At 38.5% G+C, this 24,313-nt stretch overlaps 1 protein-coding gene and 1 long non-coding RNA gene across 4 annotated transcripts in view, besides 1 other annotated feature; one reads left to right on the top strand and one right to left on the bottom strand.

Moving 5' to 3' along the window:
* The window catches only part of MACROD2 (mono-ADP ribosylhydrolase 2), a 2,057,682-nt gene that overhangs the window by 1,509,194 nt on the left and 524,175 nt on the right, over positions 1-24,313 (bottom strand). The gene's annotated exons all lie outside the window — the stretch shown is intronic.
* LOC124904873 (uncharacterized) lies at positions 20,687-21,154 on the top strand. The gene is made up of 2 exons (XR_007067536.1): positions 20,687-20,779; positions 20,858-21,154. It is a non-coding gene; the product is annotated as an uncharacterized LOC124904873 (long non-coding RNA).
* Positions 21,529-21,698: an enhancer, noted in NCBI's record as "experimental_59600 CRE fragment used in MPRA reporter constructs". NCBI's record gives its function as "activates a minimal promoter by MPRAs in K562 erythroleukemia cells, with activity observed for the introgressed 20:14503037 variant allele {active_cell/tissue: K562}" and the evidence as "EXISTENCE:reporter gene assay evidence [ECO:0000049][PMID:34662402]".

The following is a 24,313-nucleotide window of genomic DNA, read 5'->3' as shown; positions in this document are numbered from 1 at the left end:
GGAAGAAGCCAGCCAAATAGACATTTAGTGAATATTAGTTGAATTGACTGACTTGGGGTCTACTAAATTGTAATGATATGGACAAGTTTGAGGGAAATTCTTTTTGATAAGACTTCATCTGGATGCAAAGGAGACTGATAGGAAAGAGAAATGTTAGAAAACGAGGAGAAATGAAATCCATGATCTTCCCTAAGTATTATCTACAGAGAGAAGGACTTGTGCTTCAAAGACATCTGATATTGTAACGTAAGTGGTGTTTTGATATAATACTATCTTAAAATTTTTGACTTAATGATATTTTCAACTTATGATTATCAGGATATAACCCTATTGCAAGTTGAGGAGCATCTGCATTTACAATTAAGTTACTTTTAATAGTTCTACAACCTCCTATTTATAACTGTAAAATAGAAGTTTCTAAATGTATGGAAGAAATAGTCCATGAGAGAAAAACAGAACTTTTCATTATATCAATATGCCAATTATTTTAAAAACTATGTATGATTAAAACATTAAAATCCTAAATGGCTTCACCTTAAAAAGTGTAGAGTAAAACAATAACCAGTTAAAATTAATTCATAAACTACATATAGGAGCTTAAAAGATGTAAAACTTAAAGAGACCAGGGAATATTATTTGAGATAGAGTGGTTGTGTGAAAATATAGTTATAAATTGCATGTTGTGCCAACTAGTTATAAATTTCATGCTGTTCTGTTCTGTCCTGCCTGGGATTTGAATCATCACTTTGTCCAGCATGTCCACTCTGTATACACTACCAGTCCATTAGTCACTTACATCATCAGATAGGAAAACATAATACATATAGGGTTTGGTGCTATCTGTGGTTTCTGGCATCCACTAGGGGTCTTGGAATGTATGCCTTGAGAATAAGGGGTGATCATTGTATAGGACAGAGGAAGAAAATAAGGTACAAAAGGGACAATACAGAAAAATTTAAAAATCCCATAATTACATCTCCAAATCATAATTGGTTGTTTTAAAATAAAAGATTATTTTAAAATTAAACCTACAGCAGAATCTGAAAATTATAATAATTTACCATTTCATTAATTCATTATGTAAAATTGTACATTTAGTTTAGAAAAAAACTTTCCAGAAAGCAGGAACAGTATGAAAATTGTCATATTTAATTGCAGATTATTTTACCCTATATCCTATTATAAAATTTTCAATTATGCAGCAAAGTTGAAAGAACTGTAGAGTAAAATCCGATGTACCCACTACCTGGATTCTCCCATGACTATTCTATTGTGCTTCTTTTATCACATATCTATTAATCTAACCATCCTTCAATCCATTGTTTAATCCATCTGATTTTGGTACATTTCAAAGAGATTTTCAGACACAGAAAAATTCTCCTTAAATACTTTTGCATGCATATGATTAATTATAGTTCAACATTTGCTTCCACTTTATATTACATTTACATACAATGAAATGCACAAATGTTAAGTATTCATTCATTGAATTTTGATAAATATGTGTATTTGTGAACACCCAAACTCCTTCAGTACATAGAACATTAAGTTATGGATTATTTTCAGGAAAATAAAAACTTAGTATAAGCTCCCTTTTCTTTTCTCTAATCCAAAATATTTAGAATGTTTAAAGTGCAACAAAGAACATAGTTTTTCCTTAACCTCAACAAATATTTTCAACTCCATTTCAGTAAATAAATAAAGAGCAGCACATGAAGTGATGCCTATGGATTAGCTTGATTTACAGCAGGGATACCACACCAAACACTGACAGTGCCATATTGGCAAAATATACATAGGAGTGCGGTGAGGGAAAGACAAAAGGGTGTGATGGCGACTGCGGTCAACACACCCACATTCAGCTCCAGCTAACTGATGCCATGCAGGCATAGGTGTCTCGCGTCAGCAGACGTTCAGGCTATTCAAGAAAGGCTGGGAATCCAGATATTTATGTGCAATATACTGAATTTCTCAAATGTTAACAATGAAATTATACATTTTAAAAACATTATGTGGTTTATTAAAATTGGGCCTATAAGTCTCCCAGATTACATTCTGTAGTTTTGAGTTTCATGCCATTTGATGACTTGTGGTTCCCCTGTAGTATTATGATGATCAGAACAGATGAGTCTTAGAATCATATTATTTAAAGGATCTATTAATCAATATTTTTAAGACATTTAAGACTTGAGCAGTTAGATATACCAGATATACCATATGCTATTATAACAGATAAACATAAAAACCAAAAGTAAACAGTAATACGTCTCTTTCTCCTCAGGAAACATAACCACACAAAATGAATCTGATAATACCGGCGGTTTTATAGACACCATTCCCTCTCAAGCACATCATTTTGTTCACATATCCATGCATTCATTATATAGTGTGTGTGTGTGTGTGTGATGTGTGCTGTGTGTACATGTGCTAGGCACTGTCCTAGGTCTGAAGATACAACAGTAAGTTAAAGAAAAAACCCAGTTTTATAGAGTTTAGTTCAGGGAAGATAGAAAATAAGTTCATAATATGCCTTGTAATTATAAGTAATAGGAGAAAAGTAAAGCATGGTATGGGTGGGAGGTTTATATGAGATGGTCGGAGAAGACTTCCCCGACAAGATGGACTCTGAAGGGAGATAAGAGGAAGAAACAGAGAGGGAGCACTAAAAATATCCTGGGGATGAGAGATCCATGCAGACAGAACTTGCCAGACCAAATGGGAAGACCTTAAATGCACCTCTAAAAAGTATGTCATCAAATGCAAATTAATATATGTGTGCTCCCCTTTCAGAGTACCTATTGTCACATAAAGTCTATACAAATTGATAGTGAAAGAACAAACACAATATTTTGGATTTAAGGATATGAAACCACCCTAGCAAGGCTTTATTATAAGCTTATTATTCAGAGGAATCAATTCTGTAATTAAGATGTAATATGATTTACAATTTTTGATGTATACTTTTTGCAGAATGCATTCACCACATAAAGATATTCCCTACCAACAGAATTCATAAGCACTAGATATTGCCAGGTGAAGTAAGATGGGGCTAATTATGGACAGTTGGCAGACCATTTTCATACAGAAAAATGGAATCTATATGAAGAATGAGAACATGAGCTCATTATAAAGTCTTCAGAGATTATGCCTGATTTTTCTTTCCTTGAGCCTCTCCTAATGTAGAGCACGGTTATAAAAGTTAAAGAACCTCTCTGTTGCCAGCCTCTCTAAGGGTGCTGATAGCAGGTGGTGCTAATGTACCTTGATATAGGATTTTCTTGCTCAGAAGCTCAAAATAGGTAAAAGGGATTATGGCAACATCTTCACCTGACCCAGCAACATCCCTGTCTTTTGTCACCCATCATGCCAGATTCAGAAAAGTTGATCTAACATTTCAATCAGAGACTGGCAGGATTGGCCTTTTTATACCTGTCAAGATTGAAGGTAATTGTGCTCCCAGGGCCATTCCACTTGAAGGAAATATATGGAAATTAGAAATATACCACATTCTGAAAGAAACTGCCAGTTTCTGAGCACCTTTGTGAACTCTCTTTTTCTGTTTAATATAAAAATAGAAGGGGAAGGGCAGGGGAAGGGTTAGGTTGGAAGCACACAGTGAAATATGTTTGACTGCCTGCAAAGTCACCACATTGAAGCTGCTACTGCTTCTTGCCTTGACATAAACACTTCATAGTCTCCAATTATATTAATTGCTCATGTGGTAAAAAACCATCTGGGGAAGTAAACGTAACTGAGGTCACAGACATGATAAACTTGGAAACATCCTGAATGCAAACAAGGGCAACATAAAGATGTTATCCCATCATTTTTGGTTTTAGGGTTTTATTTTTAATAAATTGGGACTCTTTATAAAATGATGGCTATGTTATTAATTAAGGACATTGCCATAATGTCTTTAAAAATGTATGTGAATATATTTACAATATTACTGGTAACTGAAACTAAACCATAATTCTCTGTGAGTTATGAGACTATAAGGACCTTTAAAAGAAGGGCAAAACGGTCTCAAAATGTAAAAGATCCCAACATGTTCACATGTGAAACAGATTTGCTTAGCATCCAGGAACGGGCCACAGCTGCCATTACATCTAATGCTTTCCTCCCAATCTACCTCTCTACTAACCAGTGGAAAAAAATATGATTCACATCTTTATCAGAATTTGTTACCTCTGTATTTGTGTACAAAGCAAGACCTAAGTTCTCAATTTCTCTGAAGAAAACAAAGTAAATTGTCTATACATTAGCAGCATTATCTTTGAGTTATCAGTGCTTATCAAAAATAGAGGATTTATGGCACATACGTTGAATGCATCTTTTTAATTTTTAAAAAAGTTATTCCCTAGGGAAACTTAGAAGTAACTACTTTGTTTCAGGAAGCATTTTTATAAAATATCTTAGTGGCATGAGTGCTGATATATTTACCTGTGCAGAAATGAGCCCCATCATTAATAGCTGGTTTTCAGGGCCTTCATATTGTCCCCCTTCCCTAAATGGTCAAATCCAATCCTTTTCACACAGGTCCTTCCCTCACTCCCCCAACACTCTCCCTTCTTCTACCACCACCTCCCAGCTCCATCTCCCACTGGAAAAGCAGGAGTCAAGGGAGGATGGCCAGAAGAAGGTATTTCTAAAATTCTGTGTATGATTATTGAAACTTGGTCAGAAAAGCTAAAAGAGGTGTCAACTTGTGTATGTGGGAACAACTGCTTCAGGAAACAACTGCTATGCCTTTTCCTTCCCCTAAATAAAAGAAAAAAATGAGATTTTGAGGAGAAAAATGTTTGTAGCTCAAAATATTGTACACAATTGAGATAATTTTGAACAGAGTCACATAAGCTGGACAGAGAAAGGTCTTGATTTCTACTGTTGCCAAATTTTGTCTAAGATAAAGTATCTACATTTTTAATCCATTGTTCATTCATTCACTCATTTCCTTACTCAGCAGTTAGCCAGTCATATGTGAAATGTTTACTGAATGCTCATTATGTGCCAGGAAGTTCTAGGCACTAGGGACACACCAGCGAAACAGAACACACAAAGTCCTGACTCTCACGGAGCTTACATTTGGAGACTGGGTTGTGGGGAGCACGGAAAGAGATAATAAACATGTAGGCTCGAAAATAAATGAGGTACTTTTTCAGAATGGGATACATGCTATACAGAAAACAGAAGAGGGTAATAAGATGCCTAGAGTAAGAGAGGGGGGCGGTCAGCAGAAGCCTGTCTGAGGAGGCAGCATCTGAGCTGACATCTGAAGGATAACAAGAGGACAGTGAGATGACAATGTACGAAGGAGTGAGTGGGACATAGTCATGTCCTGAGGTGGGTATCAGTTCCTTATGCGCCTGGAATAGAAAGAAGGCCGGTGTGGTTAGAGCTGAGAGAGTCATGCGTAGAGAGGTGGGAGGTGAAGACTAGAAGACAGGCAAGAGCAGGCTCATAGTAGCTGAGCAAATTGTGGATTTTGCTCTAAGTGCAGTAGGACTCATTAGAGAGTGTTAGGCAGGGGTGTATTGTGATCTGATTTCTGCATTTTAAATATCATTTCAGATGATGCATGGAGAATGGACTGAAGAGAGGAAGTGTAACAGAGGGAAGGCTTGTGACAATAAGTTGCCATCTCTCCTCCATTGCTCCAGCCTTTGATTCACAAGCCTTCTGGCATGAGGACCAGGGATATTCTAGTCCTGCCCTGGGGCCAAGAGCTGGGTTTAGCCCTGAGAAAAGGGTGCATTGGTTTCAGTGTACGAGAGACTCTAGACAGCTTACTCAGGTCATATGCTCCACCCCCTCCCACGGTTGAGACCTTGGACAGGTAATCGTTCTCTACCTCAGTTTCTTTTCATGTTTTAAAATGGGATCATTATATTATAGTATCCCCTTCATGGGATTGTTCTGATTATTTATACAGAACAGTGCTAAAATAATGGTGGGAACATGGTAAGCACTCGAGAAAAGATAGCAAATAGCACTACCACTACAATTGCTATTAGGTCAATTAAGCAGATGGTATTTTGAGATCCACATTTGAGAAGAGGCAAAGAAGGTGAAAATAGAGATCTAGTAAGGAGCTGCATCGGATTTCTGAGAGGTTCCTGTTTCCTTCCTGCCATCTGTATCCTGAGGAAGACTGTCTAAAATGGGCAAAGTATGAGAATTGTCTACCTTCGGACTATGCTGGAAAATGAGCAGGATGAACCACTGGTGCCATTTCCAACTTTTCCTTTTGGTCATTTAGTTGGTTTGAGACAAGTAGATGAGCTGGAGAAAACAGAAGTAGACATTCTATACATTAATAGAGCCCTGAAGCTCCTTTTCAATAGAAACCGCATGGAACTTACATTGGTGATGCCCTGCTTCACGTCCTCTTAGCCCACCTCTGAGTTCACCTGAAGCTATCTGGTTCCTATACACACCAACAGCTCCCCAACTTAAAGCACTTGTGTCTTTCTGCCTCTCCACCTGCTCAGTCCATGTTTAGGGCAGGCTGAAAGTGCCAGAGATTAAACACCCCCAAGAGAAAACACCAACAATGAAGAATGGGGTAAGTGAACAAATACTCAACTTCCCTGTCCCTAGGTGTAGACAATTCTGAGGCTATTTTATACAAGATCTATAGCAGGACTTAGTCCTAGTTACCCTTATCCTTAATCTGCTCATTAAAATCCTTTTTTTAAAGCTGCCTCACTCTCCCTCATTCTTGTTTCCTGGAACTACCTATCAAATAAACTATCATATCTGAGTCACTGTGTCAGGTTTTGCTTTTGGAAGAATCCTAACTAGGACACCATATAATGCTTTCAAACAACATAGATCTCATATGAGCTTTCTTCACCAATGAAGTAACATTTTCCAACCACTATCCCAGTGATCAATCCCAGGGTAGAATGAGAGTGAACAGAAAACAGAAGGAAGGGGGTTGGAGGGAGTAGGGAGAGCTCTAGGCTAATATCATGGCCAGGAAGCCACCCTGACCCTTTCTGACTAAATCTACAGTCACAAAGACAGGCACTTGCATAATAAAGATGCATTAAATGTCTGTGGCATTAATTATTATCTGACTCGGAATTTTGACAGAATTCAGTTAAAAACTGAACATGTTGAGACAGGCACTGGCATGAAGCCCCAACCTAGTCAGATGTACATCTTAATTTACTGCAGATGGGCACCAAGTCATTTTGCCAATTTGGATGTTCCCAATAAGGTTTCACAAATAGATCTGTTCTCCAACAATATCTGCCTTCAATCAAAAGTGAAACAAATATAAAAAATGTGACTTAATGTATACATGCACACATAAATGCAGGCACACATGCATGCACACACACACACACACACACACACACACACACACACCAATGTTACCTATTGGGTTTCAGCCCAGTTAGGTTAGATTTTGTTCAAAGATAAAAATAACCTCTTATTATCATTTTGCTCCTAAAGATTCCTTGCATTTAACCATGTTAATACTTATGTATAAAGATGAACTGTCCTCAAAGGGAATAAAATAAATAATTGCCAACTATTTCACATATGTTCTCTACACCTCCAACTCTCATATATTATTCTTTATTCTTCCTAAAGTATAATATAAAACTAAGCTCATTTCTCTTCTATTCAGGCTATGGATTTTCCTTCATTTTTCTGTACCCAGTAAACTCCTCCACTTGAGACATAAAAGTTCAAAGTGTTGGCTAGTCGAAATTCCACTTATGTTAATGGAGAATGCATTTTTAAAGAATAATTGTCACAGATAATTATTTTATATTAAATGGAGATCACTGGAAGTCAACGTTGTGCATATATATATACACATATATGTTGTTGGGTATCAGGGGAAAGTTCTTTGTGACAACTCTTTGATACTGTAGGTAATTTCTCCCAATGACAAATAGTTCAAATGATTTTACTTCTAAGAGCTGTCATGCCCCAGCTCCTTTATTTTTTATTTTTTTGTCAAACCATGATACATTTCCCTCCTATAACCAACAGGCCTGTTTCCATTAGATCAAAACTATTTTATAGATTCTAATAAGTAAACAATTCTCCATAAACAAAGTGAATTACATTAGTGCTAACTTTAATACTTGAATCTAAAAATATATACTTGAAGAACTAGTGAAATCTTCTACAAATTCAATTCTAGAATACCTTCTTAGGATATAATATGATCAGGTTAGTTCTCATGCTTAAGCCTGTTGGTACAAGTCACTTCAGTGCCACCTGACCATCTAATCCAAGGAAAGTGAAGGAAAGTGAGGGTCCTGGTAAAATCACAGCAGCTAACGGAAGATACTGGGAGGCCTTAATGCATAATTAATTCTGCCCTGTTTCTTCTTCTTCACTATATACTCAAGACTTTAACAGTTAATCAACCACAGCTTCCTAGCTACCTAACCAACACAGTGCCCACCCAAGTCCTTGGCAAGACTTCAAGGAGAAAAGGATAACTCTTTTTTTTTTTTTTTTTTTTTTTTGAGACGGAGTTTCACTCTTGTTGCACAGGCTGGAGTACAATGGCGCCATCTCGGCTCACTGCAACCTCTGCCTCCTGGATTCAAGCAGTTCTCCTGCCTCAGCCTTCGGAGTAGCTGGGATTACAAGTGCCCGCCACTACGCCCAGCTAATTTTTTGTATTTTTAGTAGAGATGGGGTTTCACCATGTTGGCCAGGCTGGTCTTGAACTCCTGATCTCAGGTGATCCGCCCGCCTCAGCCTCCCAAAGTGCTGGGATTACAGGCGTGAGCCACTGCGCCCAGCCAAGATAACTCCTATAAAGATGCCTAACTAATTCAAAAATACAATCTCAAATTCTAAAGGAATCTTGGCAGTTCCTTCAATCCTCTAAACCAAGTAGTAGTACTCAGATAAAATCATTCATTTTCTGCATAAATATTTCTAACTAGAAAGTACTCATCAGCTCCCAATAGACAGAGTCATTCTATCGTTTTTTATGCTTGGATCATTATCAAGCTTATTCTGGTAATAAGTCAGAACCTCTCTCCTTGCCTCTTTCATCTATTGTCCCTAATTCTGTCTCCAAGGACAACAATATATTTCATAGTTCTCTTTAGTAACTGTCTTTTATTTTTCTGTTCAAAAACTATCCTTCCCCTACTCCCCATCAATTAATGTTAAGCCCCTTGAAAATGAAGAAATTATTTTAAAACTATTTTTAGACTCTGTCTCCAAGGACAACAATATATTTCATAGTTCTCTTTAGTAACTGTCTTTTATTTTTCTGTTCAAAAACTATCCTTCCCCTACTCCCCATCAATTAATGTTAAGCCCCTTGAAAATGAAGAAATTATTTTAAAACTATTTTTAGACTCTGAGGATCTGATCCAAAGTAGATGCTCAATTGAAATGCTACACATTGAAATGCTAAACATAAAGCAATCTCCATTCCCTTCTAAAATACATCTGTATTTGAAGACACTCTTGATCAACGAGATTATTCATTGATCCCAATTATACATAACATACATTATTAAGTAGAAAAAAATTTCTTTTCTATATTTAAGGCAATTTTTATACCAGTGGAGGAAAACAGAAGCATGGATAAAAGTAAGAACATAATACATATTTATATTTGAACGTCAGCATATCCTCCTTTCTTAAAGTTCACCACATCTGAAACAAAACTTGAGTCAAAGAATAAAAATCCAAATACAACAAGACCCAGAAAAGTGACCCAGTTCTCCATCTGGTCTCTACCTTTAGTTCCTCTTTGTTCACCACTCACACTGAGGAAAATGAAATTACCCTTCCAGATAAAGCAACGCTCGAATCTGACGGTGTGGCCCTTCCTGTGTTTTAGGCTTTCACAGCTGGATCTCCACACCATCCTCAAGAAACATACGTGTAATTAATAATTTAGGTTTTAAAAGATAGAGCCTAAATGTCCTTCTCTTTTAACTGGTATTTTTTTTAATAAGTAGAAAGACTTGTAACAAGAACATATCTTGTGCAGAAGAAGAACTAAATATTACAGGGATTGACCATCAAATTGGTTTATGGAAAATTTGATAAGTTAAACATAGTTGCTATTGCTTCAAGTTACCATGTGGACACATTAAAGCGTATCCAAAAGTATATCCATGTGGACACATTAAAGTATATCCAAAAAATGAATGTCCAAACACAGGTAAGAAGGCTCTCAAATTCTTTACCTGGACTGTGAATAAGGCAATATATGGCTTTACTAGTGATTCCAATGAAAATATTTGCAAAGAAAGTGATGATTGTAGTAAAAGAGGTATACAATAGTATATGAGAATTTAAAACTACATACTATTTAGGATTAAAAGTTAAAAAAGAGAAACTTGTTTTTTAATTATACTTTAAGTTCTGGAATACATGAGAATCTTTTAATATGACCAGATGTTTAGAAATCAGGGATGAGTGCAACTTTGTTACTTTTCATCCTCTTTTTCTTTTTTCAAGATCAAATGGTTCACCACTTAGTCCACCATAAACCTAAACCTAGAGGTCATTTATTTTCCTAAACATTTTTGAGAATCTTAATAGTTAAGAAATAATCTAAAAATGTATAATCATAAGTCATGTGGCTATGTGCTTCTTATAGCTTGTCAAAAAACAAAATTTTCACTAACTGAGGTTTAAAGATAGAACTGGCTTTTGTTAGCGATTCAGAATTGAGCAGCATCCTGTCTACAAAACAGGAGAAACTCCCATGAGCCGAGCAGCAGGTGTTGACTTTATAGACAGAAATTGCTAAAGAAAGCAGAAATAAGGATCAAGAAATAAAGAACGAAAAGCAGATTGGTCATTTCAAAGTTACTTTCCTTATAAGGTTAAAGTAGACAGAATTTCCTTATCCTCCAGGCTTTAGGTAGACTGAGCCCTTTCTGATTGGTTGCTGTGAAATCTCCTGTTTTTTGGAAAACTGGTCATTCAGTTTGGTTATTACATGGCACCCAGCAAGAGTGACTCCATTCTGGTTTGGTCTGGTATGGGCCTAGTTGCAGGAGCTCAGTCCAAAACAACAGATTCCCATAAACTGGGTTTAATAAGGCTTCACATCTTTTGGCCCTTCATACAAGGCTGAAAAAATAGCAAGACACAAAAAGCTCAGCACGCATGTCCATAATTTCTACTACAAAGGCCTAATCCCGATGCATCACCCAGGGATTACTTGAAGACCTGAAACTTCAAGTTCACATCATTAATTCAGCACTCTGAGCAATATATGTAGTAAATTAAAGCAGAGATGAAGTGATTGACATTTTGAGAAACTGCCAGTAGCGTATATTTGAACAACAGGCAACCAAGTCACCACATCTGAAACATTCACTCTCTTAACCAAGAGGGGGGAGAAACTGCTAATGAAAACTAACCTGCTCAAACATTGAATGACTATAAATGATCTCAGTCACACAGTAATAAGTAATGGCTCTTAATACTGCACAAATCTTGTCCTTAAATTTTTTTGTTAAAAATGATTAGTTGTGGCTCAAGCCTGTAATCCCAGCACTTTGGGAGGCTGAGACGTGCGGATCACGAGGTCAGGAGTTCGAGACCATCCTGGCTAACACGGTGAAACCCCGTCTCTACTAAATAAAAAAAAAAAAAAAATTAGCCGGGCATGGTGGCGGGCGCCTGTAGTCCCAGCTACTTGGGAGGCTGAGGCAGGAGAATGGCTGAACCCGGGAGGCGGAGGTTGCAGTGAGCCGAGATTGCGCCATTGCACTCCAGCCTGGGTGACAGAGCAAGACTCCATCTCAAAAAAAAAAAAAAAAAAGATTAGTTATACAGGATTGTTTTGTGCACAAAATGTGAAGGCTACGTTTCTAAGAAACATGGGTACTAAAATCATTATACTGCTATTGTCCTTCAGCATAAGCACAGGTTAGGCCTTTGGGAAGTATGAAGTAAATGTGCATTTAATAAAGAAATGAATGAATCTACAGTGAGTACAAATTGAAATCACCATATGGTAAAGAAAAAAACAAAACTCATTGGAATGTGTCCACACAGTGAACGTCGAGTGCTGGCTGAGAGGAACGTTTAATGAGAAAATGGAAGCACAGCTTTTATAAGGCTGGCTTTAGAAAATATGGGGTGGGGAGAAAAAACTTTCCACCAGGATTTGTTACTCCTTAGAGGCTTGAGGAAGCTCCTCAACCTTCCCTTCCCGGAGGTAGCTTCTTGTGGGCTAGTGGCTCTGTGTCTGAGATACTGGACTGCTTATGGCTATAGCTGGGGCAGGACATTTAATTTCTATGTATCATTCAGCTTACCATTTGACTCTGATAATCATAGATGAGAACATCTGGTAAACTATAAAATTATAGGCAAAACGTTACCTCCATTATCATTACTACCACTAATAAAATACCTGCTATATAAGTTTTCTTGGGTTTCTGTAACAAATTACCACACAACTGGTGACTTGAAACAACATAAATTTATTCTGTCACATCTCTGGAGGCCAGAGGTCCAAAATCAATGTGTCAGTAGGGCTGTACTACCTCAGAAGGTACAGGGAAGAATCTTCCTTGCTAATTCCAGCTTCTGGTCACTCCAGGCATCCCTTTGCTTGGGACCACATGACTCCAATCTCTGTGACCATCTTCACAAGCTCTTGTCCTCTGGGATACTGTGTCTCCAGTATCCCTCTGACCTTCCCTGTGTATCCCTGTGTTTCAAATGTACATCTGACTTTAAGCCCACCCTGAATCCAGGATTATTTCCTCTTGAGATCCTTAATTGTATCCGCAGAGACCATTTCTCCAAATAAGGTCACATTCACAGGTTCCAGAGGTTAGGATATGGACATGTTTTGAGATCCTACTATTTCAATCTACTACACCTGCCTCAATTTTTGACAAGTTCTTTCCATCCCTCCTCCTCCTACCTTCCCTGTCCCCAAACCACAAATGGAAAATAAAATAATTTCCAGAGATTGTCATATAATTTTGGCTAATTGCTTTGTATTCTTGGGACAATAAAAGAGAAAATAACAAAAGAATAAGTGGAGAAAATGCTTGGCCAATTGAGTGTACACAGTGACTAACAGATTATTAACAACCACCTTTTGCTACTGACTGCGCAAGTTTATGTCTCTAGAATGTGATATTTATAGGAGTTAAATGAAGCATAGTGTACTGATTTTGAACAATGATTCTCTTTCTTTAGACTTAATAATTAATTGCCATTCTGTTACGTATGCCATAAATGAGAAAATTAAACACACACTTAAAAATTTAAGATAAATTATTTTTCCGCGCTCTTAATCATCTTGGAAGGTGGAAGGATACCAGCAGTTTAACCAACTCTGTAACATTAAAATGTACTCCGCTAACAATTAGAGCTAATAGTTTAAATATAAGGTTTTGACCTTTAAGCTGCTCTCAGTAAGCCTCAATACAAATCCTGCAGATAAGAACATGTATTTTTAGAGCAATTAAAATCAGATTTTTTCTGCCAGAATATAACATGAATGTAAGCAGTGTGCAGGGAAACAACTGGCTATAATACATACATAAATCACACAGCTTTAGAAAGTACCCCATTTGAGAGCTAAATAAAAAATATGAAAGTGCTTCTTTCCCTTCTTGACGAAACAAATCTCCATCCCTTTGCAGGCTCTGTGACATTTCTGCTCTTTATTTTGTGTTATGGACATAAAGGAATGTGGCAGTTGTTGTTGGTCTCACATCCCCTGAGCCTTATCAGTTCCCTGGGACTTTTAGCTTCCAATATCTGTATGTCTTTGCCTGAAAGCTTCCCCACAAGCTGCAAAACACCATATCACAAGGGCCCTGGGGACATTAACACACTTCCCTGAGTTTCTCAACAGATAACTGGCAAAAGCTGGGGTACAATTACCCCAGCTCCCTTCCTCCTTCTGAGGGATAACTCTGCATGTAATTCTGTACCATTTCTCAGAGTGCCCCTATGGCAATGAGCTTCGGTCACCCAGTGATAATCCATTCTCTTCCCTATATCCTTGTATCACTTCCCCTCCGCCTCTACCTTCCAAATAAACTAGTCGCACTCAAATCATTGTTTTAGGTTCTGCTTCTGAGGCAACCCAACCTAAAACATGGGAAAGAAAACACTATTACCCTCTTTGCTTAAAAATTATCTCAAAAATGAATCTTTCTGAAACCACTGCCATATATTAAACATTGATATACTAATATTAAAAATGAGAGCTCATATTTGTATAGTGCTGTGGCAGGTACCACTAGTTAATAAAAAGACATGACCTAGCCCCTTCTTCTTTTACCAAAATCCCAATTTCATTCAAACATTGAATGACTATGTGCCTCTGGGAAACTCAATCCTTCTAGGGAATAAACCTTGATCAGTCTTGGCAATCATGTCATTTCACTTCCATTTTCACTGACTGCTCAGGAATGGGCAAGAGATGCAGTTCTAGCTTATGGGACAGAACAGAAAGTTTTATTGGAGGTGTGTGGGAATTTTTATTTTATGCTTTAAAAAGGACATGAAAATTATTGTCATATAATGACATGAAGAGGAGCCTATCCTGGCCTGTAAATGCTGTGTAATGAGGTAGTCTAGGAGTCGTGGTAGCCATATCAAAAACACGAGGTGAAAACCCTGAAGACAAAAGCCAATACACTAAGTGTGGCAGGGCAGAAAGATGAAAAGAGACCTGGGTTCTTAATTATATATTTATTGTTATTAACTAATGAATTAACTAATCCTGGAACTGCCTTATCTCTGAACTTCTTGTGATGTGAGATAATAAATCTTGTTGTTTAATCTTTTGGGTTTCTTGTTACTTGAAGCCTAAAACTAGCATGATGGCTTTTTCAGTGTGCAAAATGCTCTCATACAGACGATCTCATCTTTCTAGGTAAAGGCAACCTACCTAATAGCTCCCCTAGTGCCCTCTAGATCACAACCCAATCTCGTGCCCTTTCCTGAGCAATCACTGAATATGAGAAGTGAATGAACTCATCAAGGTTTACCCACCTCTGGACCTAGTTATACATGCAGATATAGGGATAAAGGCATGGGAGGAAAAGATACTGAAAAGCCAGTACCTAATCCGTGCTCTAGTTATTATTACATAAGACCCAGCCTCATATACCTTCCTCCATAGGGTGGGTAGAGGGGTCAAATTAGATAACTTGCACCTACAGGATGTACCAAGAGCCTCTCACATTACTCTGTAAGTGTTGGTTATTCTATTACTGTTGGATTAGAGAAGACAGCCCAACCCAACCTAATCAATGGTCCATGTCCGTTTTCTGGACAACACAGTGATCCTGAAAATAATCCACAAATGAGATCGAGAAATGTTGGGCCCCCCCAACCCCCGCAAAAAGAAAAAAAGACATCTCAAGGAGAAAAAGAAAAGTCAGCCTAACAAAGACATAGGGCTAAGAAAGCAAAGGACATTGGAAGGAAATATTAGCAGTTCAGGTGGCTAAAAGTAGTAGACAGAGAGGATAAGCAAAAAAGCTATAAAAGCTGGCAGTGGCGAGATCAGGAACTTTGTACACCATGTTAAGGAGTGTAGACTTCAGTCCAGGCACGGTGGCTCACACCTGTAATCCCAGCACTTTGGGAGGCCGAGGCGGGTGGATCACCAGAGGTCTGGAGTTGGAGACCAGCCTGACCAACATGGAGAAACCATCTCTACTGAAAAAAAAAAAAACAGAAACCCTGTCTCTACTAAAAAAAAAAAAGCAACAACACAAAATCAGCCAGGTGTGGTGGCGCATGCCTGTAATCCCAGCTACTTGGGAGGCTGAGGCAGGAGAATCACTTGAACCCAGGAGGCAGAGGTTGCAGTGAGCCAAGATCATGCCATTGCTCTCCAGCCTGGGCAATGAGGGTGAAACTCCATCTCAAAAAAAAAAAAAAAGTGTAGACAGTGGGGCTTATTAAAGGTCAGATTTTATCTTATATTGAGATTAAAATAAGATTATATAAGATTTTAGTTTATATGATACTGATGGCTATTGAGGATGGACTTGAGAAAAGCAAGCCTAGTCCCATTTCTCTCAAATCAGGTCCTTTCTTGGTGAGCTGGGCTGCTTATTTTACTCAGCTTATTTAACCAGCCCATTTTCCTAAACCATAATGGTTGAAATAATTGACCTTTAAGTGGACATGAGAAGTGTTACTACATTTAGAGGCACTCATTTATTTCAGAATGGTGCATTATCAAATCTTACAGGCTCAGGTGAACCACATGTGAAAAACATTAGACATTCTGGCATGTGTCTAACAGGTCACTAAGAAATAGTTTTCTAGACATGTACTCTTTCTTTGCTATTTTAATGTAAAACACAGAAAAATGAAACTGCTGAAATTCATGATTCCATAATGCACAGCGTGAGACATTGTCCCCAGAGTATTCATTCCATAGAAATAGTACATTTGCATATCTTCCTATAATGTCAGTATAATTCGTTGATGCATCTTTTATTTGTGGTTTTCAGGTTGTTCACTAGAACCATGGTTTTTTTTGCCTATATAATCAGAGGTTGGTTGTAAGTGATATGGGAGTGCTGGGAAGGGAAGAGAGTGGTCCCTTTAAATGATACAGAAGGCAGGAAGGGAAGTGCTAGGAGGAGAGCATGGTCCCTGGCTAGGGTTCCACCCGTATGGACCTAGGTGAAGACAGGCATTTTCTGCCCAAATGTTGCATTTCCCAAGACCACCCTGGTCTGCCACACCCCCATCGTGTGCCTACGAAAACCTGCGAGACCCTAGCAGGCAAACACAGAAGCAACTGGATATGGAGAGGAGCACATCAGCGGAGAACACACAGGTGGCTGGACGTCGAGAAGAACAAACTGACAGACGTCGGCAGGCCAGCAGGCCACCAACCAGCAGAACGACATGGAGTTTGGCTGGGGCAGTTGGAGGAGAGCCCAGTCCGCCAAGCGGAGGCCCAACTCTAGGGGAAAACCATCTCCCTTCTGGCTCCCCCATCTGCTGAAAGCTACTTCCACTCAATAAAACCTTGCACTCATTCTCCAAGTCCACATATGATCCGTACAACACCAAGGCAAGAGTCCCAGGATACAGAAAGCCCTTTGTCTCTGCAATTAAGACCACAGTCTAACTGAGCTAATACAAGCCACCTACAAATGGCTAAACTAAAAAAGCACCCTGTAACACACGCCCACTGGGGCTTCAGCCCACTGGGGCCCTCAGCGTTCACCCCTAGACACTGTCGTGGGTTTGGAGCCCCACAGCCTGTCAGTTTGTATGCTCCCCTAGAGGTTTCAGCAGCAGGACACTGAAGAAGTGAGCCACACCCCCACCACATGCCCTGTGAGGGGGACAAGGGAACCTTTTCTGTTTCATAAGCATATTCTGGAGAACTAGCTGAGATAAGGAATATTATAGACGTCCGTGAAGAGTTGAACTTAAGAGTGCAATCTGAAAAGAAATATGAATCAGATTTGAAAGACTTCTGTCTATGAAGAAAAAAAGTGCAGAAATATGTAAACAAGATGGCTCCTTTTATTTATTAATTTTTAAGGGAATAACAATTAAAAGTGTGAATGAGCGGAATGTAAATGAAATTTTGAAAGACAACACTGGATCTTCATTGAGTCAGTATGTCCCCCAAAACTGATAGATCATTTGCAATGGCAGAATTTGTGTCCTTTTTACCCATCCTGTTTTAATTGAGAAATAAAAAAAGACTATGAAAAGAAAGGAAAACAGGATCCTATTTTAATTGAAAAATAAAAAAAAGAATATGACAAGAAAGGAAACTAGGATTTAGAGACAGTATGAAAAAATATATTTTCTATGCAATTTACATTCTACAAAGTCACAATTGGGTTAAAAGAGATATGGAAAATACTGATGTCAGAGTCATCATGGTGACTTGCACTGCGCTCTCCTTGTATTTTAAGTTCATTGTACTCTGGGCCATGCAAGATATTTTACAGCCAACAAGACAAAAGAAGGGCTTTTTTCTATCAACATTCCGATATCGGCCTTACTCATTGCCCTGCCCTTAGAAATCAATTTTATGGCAAATATTTCCCCCTCCAACCTTCAGGAAGCATGATTAGAAAAAGGGTAGATTTAGCCAACAACATGAATCCAATAGCTATTGGCTGCAATGAATGAAAAACCAGCAGAAGGGAGAGAACATAGCAAGCAACTCCAAATCAAAGGGAATATATGATTTATTTGATATCTTCATTTACCACTGTTGGAAAATGCAAATGACCTAAAAGTTACTTTAAGTGCTTTAGCATCCAACTGTCCTAACTAACATACCTAAATGGCATTGAAGATGCAGATTAGGGCACTGCTTCTCTCTAAAATTGCTCCTAACCTAAAATAGACACACCAGCGTGGTAACACATGGTAAAATATGGCCAGGCACAGGTGGCCACATGGCATTGTAAAAATATGCCAATTTCAGAGTCTGACAAGCCTGGGCATGAATCTTAGCTTTATCATTTATTCATTACATAAGCTTAAGCCCCTCACTCTTCTTCACTGTGCCTCACTTTCCTCATCTGTAATATGGAAATAATACTTTCATCACAGTGAGATATGAATTATAATGACAATATAGTAACTAACGCAGCACCTGCTACATGAAGGCTGCTTAATAAACATTAGTGATCATCACTATCATTAGCATTGCTAACTTTTAACAGCTTGGAATTGAATGTATTCAAATGAGAACTAGCAAAAAAGGGAGATAGACCTAATTATAAATAGACAATCTCCCCAAATTTTATCTGAGCAATCTTGAGGAACTAAGCTCAGATTTTTGTATGGAAATACTATTATACATGGTAATTAGACTGATAGATAAGAATATAAACATCTATTTAAACACCAATATAGCTAATATATCCAGTGGGTACTACTTGTAGTATTTTGAAACCAAATGGCCAGTTATAAAGGGGTTTTGATGAGAAAATAAATTCGGAATTCTAAATTGATGTGTCAAGACCACATATCACCCTGCGTTTTCAACATAAAGATAAGAAAATGGGGGCTCTTCCTAACCCCTTACATTCTCATCCATAAAGCAATAAGAATAGGGTTCTTCTAGGCTTTTCTCCTAGTGTGGTGAACGAGTTCTTGCAAGAGGAAAGCAATACAGAGACAGTATGAGGCAAGTGAGGAAGCAGGGCAAGGGGCTCTGATTTGAGACTCCGCATGAATGCTGCTCAAGACCAGGAAGGAGGCTGGGGAAGCTAGCGAGAAGGTTAAGGACTTGAGGAGCATCAGTGAAGGTGGTAAAGTTGGGGTGGGGTGAGTGTTCTAAATATGCTCTCCCTTTCCCTCTTAGTGGCATCTCAAGGGAGCAGTGAGTCCAAGGCTAACGCAGGCAGGGGACAAGAGCATGAGCATCCCAGGTGTGATGTATACGTAAGTGGTAGGCTTCCTTCCTTTATCCTGTCCTTCCTTTTCCTCCTCTGTTCCACCCTTATCTTGCCACTGCTAGTCCTCATTTGGCGTTGAAACAAAACAAAAGTGAGATTCCAATTTATTAGGATAAGTTAGAAAAGAAAGTCTTCACTTGTCCAGTCAGCTGCTATTCAAGAAAAAGCTTAGGACATCTCTAGAGCCCTAGCCAACTCTAGTAAAGATAGAGAAAGTGGTTAAGAACATGAACAATGTGAAGGAATGGGTGAATTAGACCACATAATTATATCGGAAAGGACATTGGTGGTTCGGAAAAAGTGAATCCTTAAGGTGAAAGACTACTTTAAAGAAGAGTTTTAAAAAATTTTCACCATGTAGGGTGAAATAAGTTGAAGGAAAGATTTTCCAATGCAAGATTTCTGCCATAACCAGAGTGACTACAGGTCCTGGTTTATGACTTCTGAGGCAATGTAATTATAAATACCGTTCCCTTTTGCTTTCAAGGTGTCATGTTTTAAATAATAAATTATATAATCAACCTAGCTATAACCTATAAGCACATTCTATCATCCTTAAAGGACTGAGGACATTTTAGAGTTCATGGTTTTATGTGTGTTTTATCTAGAACAATGTCCAGATTAACTCTAGATGAACAACGTCCGGATCACCTCTCATAACTAGACTGGCATATCCTCAGGAAGGATCTAAGGGCAATTGCAGGAGACAAAAGGGGATGTTTAATACCATTCGCTGGACTCTTATGAATAGGCAAACTCATATAGACACAAAATACTCAGATACGGTGTTAAGATCTGCACTGAGAATTAGATCTTGCTATAGAATTTGGGGGTACCCAGAAAACATAAGCTAGTAAATTTCTAGAAGAGGATGCTATGCTGACATCTGTCAGTGGACTAGGTAGGATCTCTGCTATTTTATGAAGTGTAACTAGAGGTCCATATTTTTGTGACTGTGGAGAACAGACACTGAAATTAATGCCCAAGGTTGGTTTAACCCTAGGAGCTTCCAGTGAGGCCCAACAGGAGCCCAGGAACCCTAGGTGAAGAAAAGATGAGAAAATGTTTAGAGATAGTTGAGTCCCCAATCTCCTGGGGAGGAGACTCACTGATTAAATAAAATCCAAGAAAGGTGGCACATACATTACCCCAAAATGGGGACAGAAGCTGGAGGTCTCTGATTCTGAACCCACAGGTGATGCTGTCATCACCGTGAAGCAGAAAATATAATTGTAGAAGGAAGGTTGAGACACTCAACATTCCAGAGAGGAATCTCACACATTATTCATTTCCCCCTTGGTGTGGAGAACACAGCAGTACACCAGGGCCCCTCTGTCTGCTGGTGATTGGAGGAGAAAGCAAGCCATCTATTGGTGAGGCCTCGAAAGGTTTTTCTGGGGGAGAAGAGTAGAAGGAGTTGTAACTATCCCTTTGCTTCCTTTTTTCTACAGCAGAAACATGCCAGCGTCTTTTTTTAATGGAAGATCATCTATGAAAATCGGAAAATGGAAGAGGACCTTCTACAATGCTACTCAAAGCCAGGAAATATTTTTAGCATAGTTAATAACAGATCGAGGGATAAGACAGTTGAGAAATTCATTCTCAAAAGTATAAAAGGCGTGACTGTGAGACCGGTATTTCCTTCCTTCATTCATTTAAACAATATTTACTGAGTGCCTACAGATTACTAAACACTGCTCTAGGAGGTAGGGAAACATCTATGAATAAAACAGTTAGAAATCCCTGTCCTCAGTGACCTTATTTATATTCTAGAGTTGGGAGTTTACATTCTAATGCTTCATGTTGAGACTAGATCTATGAGGATGGGTTCTCTTATTGCCTCTAGCCACAGAATGGACCAGAAGATCTCCTTAATTCCATACAAGGAAATTAATGACTGGCAACCTGAGTCAAATGCCATTGAGAGGGAAAAACGTGCAGGGACAAGAACCGGAGAGTTTTAAGAAACCAAAAGGCCTGTTGGAGAGAAAATGAATTTGACGTTCCACAAACAAGAAAAGACCTGTGCAGTACAGGCCAAAGGCCTCTGACACCCACTAAGGATCTTAAATAGTAAGCCCGACAGAGTAGAGGCACCTTACCCAAGATAGTTTCTGTATACATGGCTACAGGCCTCTCAAACCCGGAGGAAGAACTGCCTTCTGAATACACTGCTGTGACTGACCAATCTAGAAAATGTCTCTTCAGCTTTACATTTCTGCTTGGGTTTCAGGGTTTTGCTTTTATTTTATTTTACTTTGTTAGTGTTTGAGGGGAAAGGTGTTTTGTTGGGTTGTGCTGTATTTATTTTCAGCAGTTGACTACACTACCCAACCTGCTAATGTTGAGGACCTATCTATCTGTGTTATGTATGGCCATCTTGATATTTTAAATAGAATAGCTTTTTTAACCCAATCGTTTTCAAATATATTATATTTAACACCATTTCACCCAAAAGATGAATATGTAAACCAGACAGAAGAAGAGCTGCTCGGATTAGAACTCAGAGCAGGTGGGGAGGGAGCAGGAGTCCTGCCTGTCCTCTCATCACAGCGGCTTCGACGGGAAGGCTTCATTAACCCCCTAGAGATGCACCAAGCACAGACTGAAAACCTAACCTGTCTGCATTGGTGGGGAGTGCTGCTGCCTGGCCACCTGGTCTAAAATACATGATCCAAAATACAGCATCAACTCATATTGCTGAAATGAGATGTGTGAGAAAGATATTAGTCATTTCAATATAAACAAAGAGAATCCTGATTAAAAGACTTCCCATGGAATAATTAGTTGTCAGAATATAAGAGCTGAAAATATCCATGGCTAACAGAGTGACAACCAGGGCTTGTACTGACTACATGATGAATAGTGGAAGACAACCATGGTGAAGTGAAAACAAAAAACAAATATAAAAAGAACTATGACTAAAGTTACTGTGAACAGGCTGATTCTTCTCACCACCAATTACATCACATCAATGCATACACACTATTCATCCAACAAGCATTTATGAAGTGCTTACTATGTGCCAGGCATGTTGCTAAGTATTAAGAATACAGAAAAAAATAATATAGTCATCACTGTGCAAATGCTTACAGTCTTCCGTAGGAGACAAACCTGCAGGTAGAGGGATATAAAGATAATCTTATTTAATGTAATATAGAAAGTACTTAGTATGCTGCCTGGCATACAATAAGCTAACTATAAATGTTAGTTATTATTAGCAGCTTAATCTCCTGTTGCTATTTACTGGCTCCCCAAAAGAAGAGAGATGAATTTTCAAATACTGGAGACTGTGATAAGCAACCTAAGGGGAAGGAAGAGGCCCCCAAGAGGGCAGGTTTTAGAAACAACAGAGGCTTTTGCTCTGCTGGGTGGCTTATGCAAGCTGAGGGTGACAACTAACCTGCTTAGAATGAGGAAGGGCACATTTTAGAAAGCATATGGAAGAGATGACATTATGAGAAAGAAAAACATGAGGTATTTTGCTTGGGGAAAAATAGAGGTAGCCAATGCACTTTTATTAAGTCTGTGCTTTGGAGTGCATCATGTTAATCCTCTTCCATGTCTCCCCAGGAATTTTCTGTAAAACTTCAAGAAAACCTATTTGGGGGGTGTGTGTGTGCGTGTGTGTGTGTGTGTGCGCGCACGCACGCGTGCATGTCTGTGTGTGTATCTGTGTCTGTGTGTATCTAGTGCTAATGTCCTGTTTAAGATTGCCCCTGATTGAAGAAAGAAGCTTCTCAGGGAGGAGGTAAGTAGAGCAGGGACTGATCCCAACTTGGTCTATAACAAACAAGAAAAAAACAAAGTAAAAGCCTATCATTACAGGTGGAAGATAAAGAAATGGTAAAGGTACAAAGGTAGCAAAAGAGGGAAGAGTCAGCTCTACCTGGGGAAGTCAGGAAAGTTTACACAAAGTAGGTGGTATTAATATTTGAGCTGAATTATAAAGAATCGGTAGTTCACCAGGGAAGATGAAAAACTAGGAGCAAGGAGCGAAAGATTATATGTGGATTAGTATGTAGATTGTAACATGCCAATTCTGATCAATAAAAGTAGTTCAACTAGGCCAGAAAAGAAGCTGTAGAAACAGAAAAAAAAAAAATAATAACAAAAAAAACCTCAAACAGTGAAATATCTTGAGCTTGTCTTTCAAACCAACAAGCAAACAAACCTACTCAAGGATAAGCATCAAAGAAATAAATCAGAGTAAAGAATTCAGGCATAATGAATCATGGTAAATAAACTGATGGTTTTCTTGAGTTTTCTTTCTTTTTTGTTGTTTTTGTTGGGTTTCAAAAGAAGCTAGTGCAAATAAATTGGCTTTACACTCCACCATCTTTTAAAAGAAGCCTCTAGTTTGTGCACTTAAAAAAAACTTTTACTTTAGGTGTAGGGGTACACGTGCAGGTTTGCTATACATGTAAACTCATGTCACAGGGTTTGCTGTACAGGTTATTTAGCCACCCAGGTACCAAGCATAGTACCTGACAGATATTTTTTCTGATTCACTCCTTCTCCCTCCCTCCACTTTCCAGAAGGCCCCCGTGTCTGTTGTTTGCCTCTTTGTGTCCATGTTTTCTCATTGTTTAGCTCCCACTTATAGGTGAAAACATGTGGTATTCGGTTTTCTGTTCCTGCAAATGCAGGAACAGATAATGGCCTCCAACTCCATCCGTATTTCTGCAAAGGATACGATCTCGTTCCTTTTATGGCTGCATAGTATGCCATGGTGTATATGTACCATGTTTTCTTTATCCAGTCTATCATTAATGGACATTTAGGCTGATTCTATGTCTTTGCTATTATGAATAGTGCTGCGATTAACATACATATGCATGTGTCTTTATGTTAGGACAATTTATATTCCTTTGGGTATATACCCAATAATGGGGTTGCTGGGTTGA

The sequence above is a fragment of the Homo sapiens genome, chromosome 20, assembly GCF_000001405.40.
Source record: "Homo sapiens chromosome 20, GRCh38.p14 Primary Assembly".
In the NCBI taxonomy this organism is placed as follows: domain Eukaryota; kingdom Metazoa; phylum Chordata; class Mammalia; order Primates; family Hominidae; genus Homo; species Homo sapiens.
Note: the sequence above shows the minus strand (reverse complement) of the source record. Positions and strands in the feature narration are given on the sequence as shown.